General features: G+C 40.6%; 1 protein-coding gene across 8 annotated transcripts in view, besides 2 other annotated features; it reads right to left on the bottom strand.

The window, feature by feature from the left end:
• Positions 1-15,156, bottom strand: part of MAP2K5 (mitogen-activated protein kinase kinase 5) — a 264,412-nt gene that overhangs the window by 246,089 nt on the left and 3,167 nt on the right. For 6 of the 8 annotated variants that reach the window (XR_007064474.1, NM_145160.3, NM_002757.4 and 3 more), the window contains exon 2: positions 10,944-10,992. Coding sequence is in view for 7 of the 8 variants with exons in the window: in NM_145160.3 (NP_660143.1) it covers positions 10,944-10,992 (49 nt within the window). In the remaining variant the exon portion in view is untranslated. Of the gene's footprint in view, positions 1-10,943; positions 10,993-11,818; positions 11,933-15,156 lie in introns of those variants that run through there. The other 2 variants (NM_001206804.2, XM_047432856.1) reach the window with 1 other exon arrangement.
• Positions 3,659-3,738: a silencer, noted in NCBI's record as "silent region_6580". NCBI's record gives its function as "represses an Ori minimal core promoter by ATAC-STARR-seq in GM12878 lymphoblastoid cells {active_cell/tissue: GM12878}" and the evidence as "EXISTENCE:reporter gene assay evidence [ECO:0000049][PMID:35858748]".
• Positions 12,718-13,219: an enhancer, noted in NCBI's record as "NANOG hESC enhancer chr15:67840145-67840646 (GRCh37/hg19 assembly coordinates)". NCBI's record gives its function as "activates a minimal SCP1, AML or CMV promoter by ChIP-STARR-seq in naive H9 embryonic stem cells {active_cell/tissue: H9 hESC(naive)}" and the evidence as "EXISTENCE:reporter gene assay evidence [ECO:0000049][PMID:30033119]".

The raw sequence follows: 15,156 nt of genomic DNA, 5'->3' as shown, positions 1-15,156 counted from the left end.
TTTGAATTTCAATATACCCAAGACCTGAATAAGGTATTGTTCACATAGGATGGGCAAGTGCTTATATTTTGGTAAAACGAGTGAAAACCCTTCTTATAATTTATTTAAAAAAAGGGGGGGGCACCGATTACATAAAAATCATTTAAATCACAATCAAGAACAAAAGGAGAGTTCTTCAACTTCTCAAAGCTAGAGCTTGAACCTTTAAGGCTACTTAAACCAAAATATTTTGGAATTCTAAATTTCTAAGAAATCTCTTGAGGGATTATTTCAGAAGAAAAAGATCTGTGAAAGAAGTCAGCTACCAGAATAATTTCTTGAAGAGAAGTTGCATAAAAAGTAGCTATGAAACATTACAAGAGCATTTGCTTAAGTGGACAGAAAACTGAAGCCAAAAGGTTAGAATAGCTTTTGACATCAACCCAGTGATAAAATGTTGGAACTCTCCCCTTAGGGGGTCTGACTCCAAAAGAAGATTTCAGATAAGTTGAAAGAGGCATTCTAATAAAGGCTGGGGATAAAATCAGGCTTATATGGCATACTGATGAATAGTTGTTGTGGGTTAATAGGATACCTAGCTTTATATAGGTATTGGTTTTCTTTACAAACTGCTCTTTGGGAGACTGTCTGATTTGCTCTTTAATATCTATGCTTAGTCGTTTTATTAAAGACTCCTTGTTTTTGTCCAAGAGGAAACTGAGTTAGAAAAGTAACCATACCCATGAGAAGACTGGTGGCTCCAGCCAAAAGGCAAAAGCTGAGCTGTCTCTGACCCCTTGATGGCAGCCCAAGAGCAAACCACTCACCTTAACCTGTAAAGCAAAAATGCACTTCTCTCTAAAGACAGTGAATTGACAGCTACGAAAAGTTAGTGAAGGGTAAGAAAGCAGAAATACATACTAAGCAAATTACTATGACAGTAGCCTAAAATACTTTTCTGAACAAAAACTTGGATATATACAGCCCATCTAGCCAAGATTCAGGCTAGCTGCCTATCAAGCTGGATAAGCTGTAAAAATTACACTAGCTGGAACCATAAATCATAAAAACTTACTAAACTGCCACAAAGTTTCAGAGGTACAAATATGTTAGAGAACAACACTAGAAAGTAGTGGTACTAAGAAGCAAGAAAATAATTTGAGCTTTTTCTATCTTATACATGGAGGTTCTTTGCCATCTGACCAAAAAAACGTTACCGGATATGACCAACAAAAGGGGTGGGGGTAGGGGAGCAGACAGATCTGATACATTGGTTCACAATGAGAATTCCAGGCTTCTCTAGTTGCCTGGAGCATAGTAATATGATTTTCCAGCACATTAGGGAAGCAAAAGTAGAACCAGAAAGCCTATGTACTGGCTAGATTTTGTTAATGTCACTTAAAATGGAGGAAAAAATCCTAGCAAGATACCAAATAGAGTGCAGCAGATGGTAAACCAATATTATGAAGCAATCTTCACAAAATCTGCAGTGTGTCACAAATATACAAAATGGCAGAGTTTGGGAAAAGAGAATCATAACAGGCCATATGTTGTTAGCAATTTTATTTGAGGCAACATGCAATCCAAAAGAAAAACCAAGAAGAGAAACATAAAGGCCCAATAGAGAGGAGAAGCAGCCTCAGGTAAGGGGCGGTCACAATGGCCTACTGAGTAAACAGCAGATAAACAGCAGACTCCAGGGAGCTCTCAGCCAAACAGCACCCACTGCAGTGACAGGGGCTCAAGAAGGCTTTCAAGAGAAACAATCTAGCTTCTACAAAGAGCTACAGAAAGTTAAGGCAATATATTATATGTCATTTGTCACACTCCTTCTGTGCCAGGTGGCAATTAGAACTACTGCAAAGGCACTTTTCCCAGGTAAGAGAAAAGAAATGAAAACATAATTATAGAAGTTAGAAAGACATCAACAGGAAACTACCGGAAAAGATGTCATGTTTAAAGCCCTTCTCAGGCACGGAGTTAATGACGTGGGCAGGACCAGAGGCCGTACTTTCCATGGCCACATCTTCATATCCATGAGTTTTAATTTAGCTTCTTGCTTCCCTCTTCCTGATTCCTTCCTTACTTCTTTGCTTTCTTCCTCCTTCCAGCAAATAAAAGTACCCACTATGTGGTGGGCACTGTTCTGGGCACTGGGACAGTAACAGTGAAAAAAGAAAAAACAAACAAAATCCTGCCTTCATGGAACATACACTCTAGTGGAAAGAGACTGAAGGAGGTGAGGGAGTGGGCCTTGCTGATATCTGGGGAAAGACTGTTCCAGGCAGAGGCAGCAGCTAATACAAAGGCCCTGGGTCAGAGGAATGCCTGGCATGTTTGACAGACCGAAAGGAAGCCAGAGTGGCTAGAACAGAATGAGAGGTTTGGGGAGAAACACACGGGTTCAGAGAAACAATGGTGGGACAGGTTGAGGCCAGATGCGAAAATGCAGAGCCTTGGAGGGCATTTTAAGGACTTGGTCTTTTACTTTGGAGTGAGATGGAAATCACTGGAGGGTTGTGAGCGTGGTGGTGTCACCTGACTTCTAAAAGAATCACTCTGGCTGCCATGTGGAAAAGAGGCTGTATAGAGGCAAAAGTAGAACAGGGAGACCAGTTTGGAGGCCACTGTCCTAATCCCGGTGAGAGATGATGGTGGCCTAAACCAAGCTGAGGTTTTAAGAAGTCATCACATGCTGGATAAATTTGAAGATAGAGCCAACAGGACTTGCTGATGAATGGGATATAGAAAGCTTATCCTTATTACTTCACTCTTCAACCATCCATGCATTCCAGAAACACACATAGAGTGCCTATTACGTGCCAGGTACCATTATGGTAGGGATTCAAAAATAAGCTGCACTGTCCACTGACCTTAAGGAACAACTAGTCTGGTGCTTGAGTAAAGGACTCAAACTTCTTAATTTTCATACAAATTAGCAAGACTATTAATAAGAAATGACTACTCTCATAAGACTAAAAGGGATTTGGACTTTTTGCATCAGTAATATTTCCAGCCAAAATTTCAACAAATTAAAGCTCTCTTATTTTGCCCCAAATTCTAGGATGCATAATTAACTCTTACATGTTAAATAATTTTCAGGCTCAGTGTAGGTTTGTTGTGACCATTTTTCACTAACTTACCTAGTTTTACTTAAAAATGACCCTTTATATTTTTACATATACAATAGTTTAAGGAAATGAAACTTCATTTCTTCCAAATATTTTATGATTTAGACTCTTCTCTGAAGCAAAAAGAGGCTCCCACCCAACTATTCTTAACAAGATTGTCATGGCTAGCTGAACACAAGAGTATCTCCTACAGGTGTCACTCCAGTTATCAGCTATAGTTGTTTCCTATACTCTGAGAATTTACAACTTCCAGAATTGCAATTTAGCTTTAAATGGTCATACTATGCCAAATTTAAAATGAGACATAATGTGTTGGTTTAAAGATTTCCACCCTAAATACAAAATAATCTTCCAGCAGTTCATAAAACAGCTGAAAATGATTCTGTGCAATAAGGAGAGAGTATAAAATGGGGTTGAAGAAAGGCACAAATTCAATAAATATTTATTCTATAACCATGTTTTCTGAACCAAACTCAGACACACGGTTTGACAAGTGTGAAGATACTTCTGAGAGCTACAGATTAGAATACATGAGTGTAATAGAAAAGTGAAACCACATGGTTTTTATAGGTTTAAGACAGCATTTGTCTACATGGACTTAAAATGCATGTTTCAAGTCACCAGTGAGATTTTACTGTCCACGAACACCAATCCAACAGTCATTTTATAGCAGTTACTTCTCTAGAGAAAATGCTGGCAGAGGAACACAAGTAACAGATATGCACAGGAAATGCATTAGTGGGCACGGTTGATTTTTATCACCTCATGTGTTGGTGTACTCATTAATCTGCTAATGAAACTGTGAAAATCAGCAGGGGTCTCTGGGCCTATATGAATGTCAAGCTCTTACAGCATATGTAGGACCCAGAAATGCAAACACACAGGATTTTTTATGGTTATGGAATTTACCTTCATCTCAGAAAGGTTCTCACATCTGGGAAAAGAAAAACTATTCCATAACTGGTGTGGAATCAACTATCTGCTTGAAAAATAAAGTTGGATCCCCACCTGATTTATTTCACCAAAATAAACTGAAGATGGTGCAAGAATTAAGAAAAACAAGGGCTGGGAGCAGTGGCTCATACCTGTAATGCCAGCACTTTGGGAGGCCGAGGCAGGTGGATTACCTGAGGTCAGGAGTTCGAGACCAGCCTGACCAACATGGTGAAACCCTGTCTCTACTAAAAAATAGAAAAATTAGCTGGGCATGGTGGTGGGCACCTGTAATCCCAGCTACTAGGGAGGCTGAGGCAGAAGAATCACTTGAATCCAGGGGGCGGAGGTTGCAGTGAGCTGAGATCATGCCATTGCACTCCAGCCTAGGCGACAGAGCAAGACTCCATCTCAAAAAAAAAAAAAAAGAAAGAAAAGAAAAAGAAAAATAAACAAATTCTGAACTTTGTAATAAAAATACATGCTTTTTATAAAAACCCACAATACGACACATACAAATTTATATAAATAACTGTGTGTGTGTGTCTAACCTCATTAAAGTAGAAGGAAAAAAGAATATCAATGAATGTTTCTTCAATATCCTGGACTGTAGAAGACCTTTCTAAGCATGACATAAACCCAGAAGTTACAAAGGAAAATAAGTAAGTTTGACCATGTAAAAATTTTAAACTTCTCCACGGAAAAAAGAAGAGAGAATAAGAAGACCAGAACAAACCGAAAAGAGCAATAAGCTGAACAAAAACATTTGTAACACACAAGACAAAGGGCCAACCTTAATATTGGAAAACCCTTAAATCAATTAGAAAAAGATAAATAACCAAATAGAAAAACAGGCAAAGACGACAAATAGTTTATAGAAATGAAATACAAATAGCTGGCCAGGTACGGTGGCTCATGCCTGTAATCCTAGCATTTTGGGAGGCTGAGACAGGCAGATCACCTGAGGTCAGGAGTTTGAGACCAGTCTGGTCAACATGGTGAAACCCCGTATCTACTAAAAATACAAAAAAATTAGCCGGGTGTGGTGGCGCATGCCTGTAGTCCTAGCTACTTGGGAGGCTGAGGCAGGAGAATCGCTTGAACCCCTGAGGTGGAGGTTGCAGTGAGCCGAGATCACACCACTGCACTCCAGCCTGGGCGACAGAGTGAGACTGCGTCTCAAAAAAAAAAAGGAAATTAAATACAAATAGCCAAATACAAATGAGAAGATATTCAAGCTCATTTACAATTTAAAAAATATAAAATAAAACAGTAACACAGTAATATTTTCACCTATCAAACTGACATTGACTAAAAGGTTTGCTAATATCCAGAGTTGATGGGGTTGGAGGGAAATGGGCCTTCTCATACCTTGTTGGTGTGAGTGTAGATTGGTTCTACCTTTTGGTGAGCAAACACAGTAATAGATATTGAAATTTAAATATGGGTATTCTTTGTCTCAGTAGTTCCAACTCTAAGAATTTATCTTACAAATTTATTTCCACAATGATATGGTTTGAATATTTGTCCCCTCCAAAGTGATCCCCAATGTTGCAGGCGGGGCCTGGAAGGAGGTGTTTTTGTCGTGGGGGTGGATCCCCCATGAATGACTCAGTGCCCTCTCTATGGTAGTGGGTTCTCACTCTGTTGGTTCATGTGAGAAACTGGTTGGTTGAAGGAGCCTGGCACCTCCTCCACTCTCTCTCGCCATGTGACACGCCTGCTGCCCCTTCACTTTCTGCCATAAGTAAAAGCTTCCTCAGCAGAATGCAAGCAGATGCTAGTGCCATGCTTGTACAGCCTGTAGAACTGTGAGCTCTAGATGTAATGGAGAATAAGGACCTAAAAGAGGTCCTTTTAATAAGAAAACAAGGTTTAGGACCATCAGCCCAAAAGGTGAGTTCTGCAGACAGATGTCCCTCTCCTCATCCAGCCCTAACTCCCCTTGGAAACACCACACCCAGAAAAAGAAATCAGAAAGAATACAGCTCCTCAGGTTTGACCCCCTTGGGTCAGTCAAATGTGGGAATTTGATTTGGAGGCCTGAACTGTCCACCACCAACCAATTATATCCCATGCTCAGGCTATAACACAAATAATCCAAAAACGCAAATTACTCATTTAGATTTAGACCATATACATTTTATAATTTTCATTTGAATATGGACACACATAACGTTCCACTCATTCAACAAGTGTGTTCCTCTAAGGCAGCAAGCTCATTACTAAGAAGAGAGAAAGAGTGGAATAAAACATCGTACCTATCACTAAGTGACTCAAAATGTAATGAGGGAAGTTAACATGCACACACACACCAGAAGGCAGGTTGAAGGGGTTCCCTGCTCTAGTAAAGGTGCAGAGAGATTAATGCCATCTGGAATCACCGGAGGTTTCATTGAAGAGACGCCATTTCTCAGAACTGGAGAATCTGTAACATTACCTGACCTTTCCCCTCTTTTCCACTCACTCAACTCTTTTTCTCTACATTTATACAAAACAGGTACATTTGACAGCTACCCTATCTCTTGTTGCTTAATTCATATCACTAACTATAACACCATTTCTTTTATATAAGATATCAATTAGTGTTAGGTATATTTTCAGTATTAAATGTATTACTATAAGGCCAGGTGCGGTGGCTCACACCTGTAATCCCAACACTTTGAGAGGCTGAGGAGCATGGATTGCTTGAGCCCAGGAGTTCAAGACCAGGTTGGGCAACATGGCCAAAGCCCATCTCTACAAAATATACAAAAGTTAGCCAGTGTAGTGGCATGCACCTGTAGTCCCAGCTACTCAGGAGGCTGAGGTGGGAGGATTGCTTGAGTCTGGGAGGCAGAGGTTGCAGTGAGCTGAGATCGCACCACTGCACTCTCCAGCCTGGGTGACAGAGCCAGACCATTTCAAAAAAACCAAAAATGTATTACTATAAGTATTTCTTTTATTAAAGTTGTATTTATTCAAGGGTTGTTCCATTATACCCATAAGCCACTGAAATATTTCCAAAATTCCTTATAAGCTATATCTTCTCAACTATTTCTTTTTTTTTTTTTTTTTTTTTTTGAGATGGAGTCTCGCTCTGTCGCCCAGGCCGGACTGCGGACTGCAGTGGCGCAATCTCGGCTCACTGCAAGCTCCGCTTCCCGGGTTCACGCCATTCTCCTGCCTCAGCCTCCCGAGTAGCTGGGACTACAGGCGCCCGCCACCGCGCCCGGCTAATTTTTTGTATTTTTAGTAGAGACGGGGTTTCACCTTGTTAGCCAGGATGGTCTCGATCTCCTGACCTCATGATCCACCTGCCTCGGCCTCCCAAAGTGCTGGGATTACAGGCGTGAGCCACCACGCCCGGCCTCAACTATTTCTTAAACATAGATTCCATTTATTGGTTCGGATTTCTGGTTCAGAAAAAAAAGTCACCACAAAATAATCATGAAAAAAGCCAGCCTAGGATTTCAAGTCTATAGTGGAAAGTACATGATAATCCAAACACAAAACAACTAAGAACTGTCATTATTTTGTCTGTGGGTATGTTTTGTATTTATTGTTTTTCATTTAAAACTGGCCCACATGAAGATGGGCACAGAGCTGCTGCCATTGATGGGGCAAAAGAAAGAGCATGATATCACAGAACGTAAACCTGGAGTAGTAGAGGTTTATCTATATTTACACTTAACAGGCTTTTGACACACTTGGGGATAAAGAGTGCAAGTTTTATAGTCAAAAAGATGTGTGTTTGAACCTGGGCTTCACCGTTCCAAGCAATCACATTCAGCAATCATTTCAGGCCTCTAAGCTTCGTTTCCTCACAGGTATAATTTTCCTATTTCACAGACTCAGTATAAAGATTACTAACAACTTAGGCAAGTCATCTAGTACACTGCCTGGCACAGAGCAAGCTATCAATGAATGATAGTTAAAATAATCAGTATTATTATTATTATGAACCCTAACTGGAAGCCAATGAGGCAGGCACAGGCACATCAAGCCACTTTGGGGATCCGAAAAGCAAGTAAAAAGTACAAAGTAAACTTCTTTTTACCATGCTTAAGAACAACCAGAATATATGATTTCAATAATTATGACAACTCTCAAAACAAGTCCAGTACAGTGGTTGAGAATATACACTCTGGAAACTACTCCAGAAATTCCACTTTACCACTTAACAGCTGAGAGACTTTCAGCAAGTTGCTTAAAGATTTCCTTTCCTCAACCAAAAAACAGAGCTAATAATGTCCTTTTAAGTACTTCGTGGGTACAGTGGCTCACACCTGTAATCCCAGCACTTTGAAAGGCCAAGATGGGACTATCACTTGAGGCCAGGAGTTCAAGACCAGCCTGAGCAACACAGCAAGACCCCGTTTCTACAAAAAAATTTTTTTAATTAGCTAGGTGTGGAGGTGGGTGCCTGTAGTCCCAGCTACTCGGGAGGCTGAGGCAGGAAGATCACTTGAGCCCAGGAGTTTAAGGCTGCAGTGAGCTATCATCATGTCACTGCACTCCAGCCTGGGCAACAGAGCAATACTCTGTCTCAAAAAAATAACGAGTACTTCGTGGGGATCTTGTGATGGTTAAAAGAAATAAGATAACCCATGGAATGCTCTTAGCAAAGCATCTGTCAACAGTAAGTACTCCGAATGTTAACTATCAGACTGTCCATGAAACCCGTGGAACCTGCAAGGAGTTACTGCAAAGAGTCTGAATAAAGCTTGCAACACTAGTATGTATTTCAGACAGATGTACTATTTTTCTATAGTACAGAGTTCAATGTGACTAATAAAATACTAATTACATTGAGTTCTACTCATTATAGCTTTTAAAAACAGGCAATGATTGTTGAAAAATGTTCAAACAATAGAGAAACATACAAAGTAAAAAGTGTGATCATTCATCCACCCCCTCCCGCCCCCACCAACCCAAGCCTCAGGCCCCAAGTCCACTTTACAGGGTAAGTCACTGGAAAGTACTGTAGTAGGCACTCTTCAGATCCTATCTTTCAATACACACATAAAGTTGGGGAAGCGTGGTTGGATATTTTACAAAATGGGATCATACTATATGCATTATTTGTTTATTCAACAATATTTCACAGATATCTTTCCGTACAAATGTAAAAAATCCTAACTCATTCTTTTTAGTCACTGTTGAATGCTTTGAATTATAGACAAATAGTAATTTATTAATCCATTATAATAGGCATTTAGTTTACCTCTAATTTTTTGCTATTGAAAATAATCCCACAAGCCTGAGCCAGGAGGTCAAGGCTACAGCAAGCTGTGATCTCACTACTGCACTCCAGCTTGGGCAAAAGAGTGAGACCCTATCTCCAAAATAAATAAATAATCCCACAGTGGGCCAGGCACAGTGGCTGACATCTATAATCCCAACACTTAGGGAGGTCAAGGCAGGAGGCTCACTTGAGGCAAGGAGTTCAAGACTAGCCTGGACAACATAGCAAGACCCCATCTCCACATAAAATTTAAAAATTAGCCAAGCATAGTGGTGCATGCGTGTAGTCCCAGTTACTTGGGAGGCTGAGGTGGGAGGATTGTGTAAGCCCAGGAGTTCAAGGTTACAGTGAGCTATCATGCCACAGCATTCCAGTCTAGGCACCAAGGCAAGATCCTGTCTCTAAAAATAACAATAATTATCATCATGATCTCACAATGAACACTTTGTTTGATGGGCATTCAACAAATGTGTAGCTATTTCTGTTGAACTGCTTCCTGACAGTGGATCTGCTAAGTCAAAGGTTTTGCACATTTTATATGTTGATAAGAAATGCCTAATTATCCTCCAAAAAGGAAGTACTCATTGTATTCTCTGTAAGTAACCATCTTCATAAAAAACAGAAACAAAAAAGTATCCTATTGTGGAAAAACTGAAATTTTTCTACATTAAGAAGTGACCCTCTGGCCAGGTGCAGTGGCTCACACTTATAATCCCAGCACTTTGGGAGGCTGAGGTGGGTGGATCACTTGAGGTCAGGAGTTCAAGACCAGCCTGGCCAACATGGCAAAACCCTGTCTCTACTAAAAATACAAAGATTACTTGGGCATGGTGGTGCACACCTGTAATCTCAACTACTCAGGAGGCTGAGGCATGAGAACTGCTTGAACCCAGGAGGCAGAGGTTGCAGTGAGCTAAGATCGCACCACTGCCCTCCAGCCTGGGCAACACAGTGAGAGTCTGCGGCAAAAAAAAAAAAGAAAAAAGAAAAAGAAAAGAAAAAAGTAGCCCTCATCTTAAAAAAAAAAAACTACAGTTCTTACTTCATCCCTCTCAGCATCCGGGCCCTTATGCTACTGACTATCTCATCGTAGCATGACTCATTCCATGATGTCCTCTGCAATGACCTGGTTCATGACAAAACAGTTTTCTAGTCCCCAGGTCACCCTGGCCCTGTCCCCAGGCCAACTGTGGGGAAAAAGGAAGGACTAAAGACCTGAAGTGTTCCTGTCACCATCTAGCATCCCTGCTAAGCCCCACTAAAACAGAATTATTCCATGTAATGCTCATGGTAAAAGCTCTACTTTGTTGCTATGTTTTAAAGCAGCAATGGATTAAAATCTCTTAATCAATAATCACTGGCCTACAGGTAGTTTACACGTTTCATTTTGTCCTGCAATATTATCACAATCAGGAGCAAGAGCAGATAAAGGTCATGCTGGTAATTAAAGCTATATTGTAGAAATATGCTCACCCAAGATATGATTAAATAAGAAAATATTACTCAGTTCAGTATCATCATTAAACTTATATCAATTTATAAATATTTAAATGTACCATATGATGGTCATAAATAATCTGTTTTTGTCAGTTTCTAAAGTAATGCCACCCATAAACCCTTTAAAAAATGACTGCAGAAAGGAATAGTCAAGAAAGTATACAAGCCAGACTTACATTCAAATGCTGTAGTTGTTGCTTCAGGCAGAACCTGGCCTATCACATCCTAAACAAAGAAAGAATAAAGAAACACAATTAGCCATCTTCTTTATTGCTAACATGTGGCAAATCCTACAGGAAATATGAGAACCTGGGAAAGATTTTTGAAACGTTAGCATAAACTATAAAAACATTAGCTCATAATCACACTTAGCCCAGCAACGTAAACCCAGAGTTTAAAGCTCTATTCCAGGAAGAAAAATATTTAAGGAAACTTTTCCACATTTTATTAATAACATATTTTATTCTCAGTTCAACAGTCTATATACAAATAAACCGTCATGTATTTACAAAAACTTGGTTTCTTCTATGGGAGGCTGTGGAATATACTACAGTTGAAAGAGAGAGGGGTTTTGAGAGTCAGACTGACGTAGGTCTGAATCTCTGGGAAAAAAATCACCTAACCTCTCTGAGCTTCAATTTGATTACCCTCCAAAATGGGTCTGGTAATACTTATAGATGTAGCTTAAAAATTAATCTAATAAACATAAACTTAGACCTAGCACATTGAAGACATTCAACAAATGTAGTTCCTGATATACAACAAGCAACACTGTGCCTCGCACTCATCATGGTAGGAGTTCGACACCCAAGTTTCCATGACGATATAAACCCATTATGCCACATTTAACACAAACAGTTCTTATCAACCTTTACTCTTAAGCAACAGAAAACATACTTAATGACACCGAAATAAAGTTAATCTAGCCTACAACAAAAATCTAAAAAGGGTATATAATCTGACATCAATGCTTAAATAAATCTATAAAGTTGAAAACACATGAAAATTAGTATACTGAGACAGCTTAATTGAATAAGCATAGAACACCTACGCTCTGGGGAAAGTGACCCTCCATCATGTCCAGTCCAACTCCAATGGCCTGCAAACCTCATTTCTCTCCAGGAGCTCTGCCACAGTGTCCCTCCCAGGCTGCAGCAGAACTGGCACCAGGCAGCCGGCTGACAAAGCCGCTCGCAGTATTTCTCAGCAGGGAGCCCACAGCCTTTCCAAGCAGGGCACTTAGCAGAGTGGCTGCAACTTCCTTCTAAAGGCAATTCTTTAGAAGCTTTTGCTGCAGTGGCAATTTGCATAATAGTCTTGCCTCTATAGTGCTTTTTTTTTTTTTCAAAAATAAATCTGTGCATATAAAACTGATCAAAGAGGACTATCTTAGGCAGTCCTTGCTCATTACAGCCAAAAGAGATTTTTTTTTCTGAGTCTAGTCCTCACAAATGAAACATCAACTTTTTGAGGAAGCATCTATAAAAGATTTTAGTGTTAAAAAATTATTTCTACACTCTCATAGTTAGAAAGTATTTATTGACAGGAAACTGTAAAGGGAGTACAGAATAAAGCACACAGGCAATCCAGTGGAAAGCCTGAAAACATGAAATTGCAGCCAAACAGCTACAGCTGGATGCTAGCTCTCTGGCACAGCTGAGTGCACAAAATCTCTCTGTGCCTCACTTTCCTCATGTGTAATATCAGATCTTAGCTGTACCTAACAAATGAGTTAGTATTTGTAAAGTACTCAGAAGAGTGTCTAGCACATGGCAAGTGCCATATTAGTGTCAAATAAATAAAACAAAACACCAATAACTGGAATATTACAAAGCTTACTTCGTAATAAACTTTGAAATTCCAGCACCCTACAATCAGTGGAGGATGGTGATTCACTCACTGACTTCATCCTTCAGCAGTACTTATTGAACACTCATTCTAGCCAGTGTAGGTTTAAAAAAACGAGGGGAAAACAACTGCTTCATCCCCAACTCTCTAAGTCTAGGTTATCACCAGTTATTTCCAGGAAACTCCGATCTTGAGATGTGAACTGTACCTCTATAGTGTTAGCAAATTAATTTAGGCTCCTTCCTACTTAGGAATAGCAGACCCCATCAAAGTGCAGAGTTCTAACAACCAACTGAAAACCTGCTCAGTGGCAATGGCATGCCTTAGCCCATCGACATAAACAAGGCACTGCACATGCTCCTCACCTGATACGAGGAAAAGGGAGAAAGAACAAAGCAAACTTGAGTGAGAGAATCATGTGAACACAACCAACCATTTTGTTCTTTAAAGCAAATAAAGTGGGGCAATCATAATGACAAAGAGGTAAGAAGTTTAAACATCAGTAATATCTACTAGTCATTTTAAAGCAGGGTACATTTGATGATTTTATATACATTTTCCAGCTAAAGTGACTTATTTCCAAGCGGCCTTCTTCTGCTCTTGACAATATAACATGTACCTAACTAACCTAAAGAAGGTTTCAAAAGAAAACCGGGATGGGCGCAGTGGCTCACACCTATAATCCCAGCACTTTGGGGGGCCGAAGTGGGTGGATCACTTGAGGTCAGGAGTTCAAGACCAGCCTGGCCAACATGGTGAAACCCTGTCTCTACTAAAAATACAACAAAATTAGCTGGATGTGTGGTGTGTATCTGTAATCCCAGCTGCTCAGGAGGCTAAAGCAGGAGAATCACCTGAACCTGGGAGGCAGAGGTTGCAGTGAGCCGAGATCACGCCACTGCATTCCAGCCTGGGCAACAAAGCGAGACTCTGTCTCAAAAAAAAAAAAAAAAAAGAAAAAAGAAAACCGAAGTTTACATATTTTGATGATGACCATTTTTTGATACTTTTCTTCTTCCTTTCAATAAATCAGACAAATATCTGACAGATCCAAAACATCATTGAGCATCTACAACATGCCACGAGCATAAAGATCACAAAGCTGTAGGCTACAGGACAATAAAACTTGATCCTTGACTTTAGGAAGATTATAAACTGGTTACAGAGATAAAGACAAACCTGAAAGACTAGTAATATAAAACACTTAAGAGTATAAGCACCAAACAAAAGACATAAACAGCCAATAGTATTTGGTAACTCAGGAGAAAGGAAAAAATCACAGACTCAGTTTAGACAGAAATCTGTGTGTGTGTGTGTGTGTGTGTGTGTGTGTTTTCTTCTTTTTTGAGATAGGGTCTCGCTCTGTGACCCAAGCTAGAGTGCAGTGGTGCAATCACAGCTCCCTATAGCCTCGACCTCTAGGTTCAAGAGATTCTCCCACCTCAGCCTCCCTAATAGCTGGGACCACAGGTGAGTGTCACCAAGCCCCCACTAATTTTTGCATTTTTTGTAGAGATGGGGTTTTGCCATGTTGCCCAGGCTGGTCTCGAACTCCTGAGTTTAAGCGATCTACCCACCTCGGCCTCCCAAAGTGTTGGCATTACAGGCCTAAGCCACCACTCCTGGCCCAGAAGTCTTATAGATGAGGGGAAATCTGAGCTTGGAGACCACAGAATACAAAAAGAAGAGGGGAGAGGGTTGGGCATTCTCTCTCATCACACACTAACCAGACCTCTTGTATAGTTTTCCCAAAACTAGGAACTCAGTCTCCAGGGAAAAAGAGAAACACAGAAAGCTGCAAAACAGAAGACCCAAATGTCTCTACCTTTGAGGGTCAGGTCAGCCTCCATAGTTCAGCCAGTCCCTGATGATTCAGACAAAAGACAAGGCCCAGAGAGACCGACTGACTTGCCCAGGGTCTCCCAGCTATTTGATGCACAGTGACTGGAGCCCTCAACTGCTGACTTCAGGTCCGAGACACTCAGTTATGGCTGACTCGGTGACTACAACCTGCTTCTGGCATCTGTGTCAGGTTCTGCCAAAAATTAGCTGGGTGGCTTTAGCAAGGTATTTTCCCCCTGTGGGGTTCATGCCTCTTCATTCGAAATGAGTCTGAATTAGATGAGGGGATTCTTCCAGGTTCCACGTGACTTTAAAGTTTAAGGTTCCAAGCCAGAGATGCTGACGTGTCTCTTGGTTCTTGCCTTTTCTTGATGAAGAGATGAAGTAAACCTGGAGAACAGATCACAGGAGTCTGCCATGATCTGGGCTTGAACATTTGCTAAAATGGAGCACTAGGAGATAGCACTGAACACCCACTGCCACAGGTCCTTCGTCAGGCCTTTCTGACAAAACATGCTCCACCTGGGCTTACCTAGCCAAAAGTGTGCAGACACCTGGCATGCTGAGCTCTAGTGGTGGGGCCACTCGTGTTTCCTGTTAAGCCAGTCAGCCTTGAGCCAGGTACAACTTAGAGATGCTCAAGAAACAGAAGACCCAAGTCCAATCCCTTATAATAACAATCCCATCAATAATAACAAC

Source organism: Homo sapiens, chromosome 15 (genome assembly GCF_000001405.40).
Source record: "Homo sapiens chromosome 15, GRCh38.p14 Primary Assembly".
Lineage (NCBI taxonomy): Eukaryota > Metazoa > Chordata > Mammalia > Primates > Hominidae > Homo > Homo sapiens.
The sequence above is the reverse complement of the archived record's forward strand: the minus strand, read 5'-3'. Positions and strand labels throughout refer to the sequence as shown.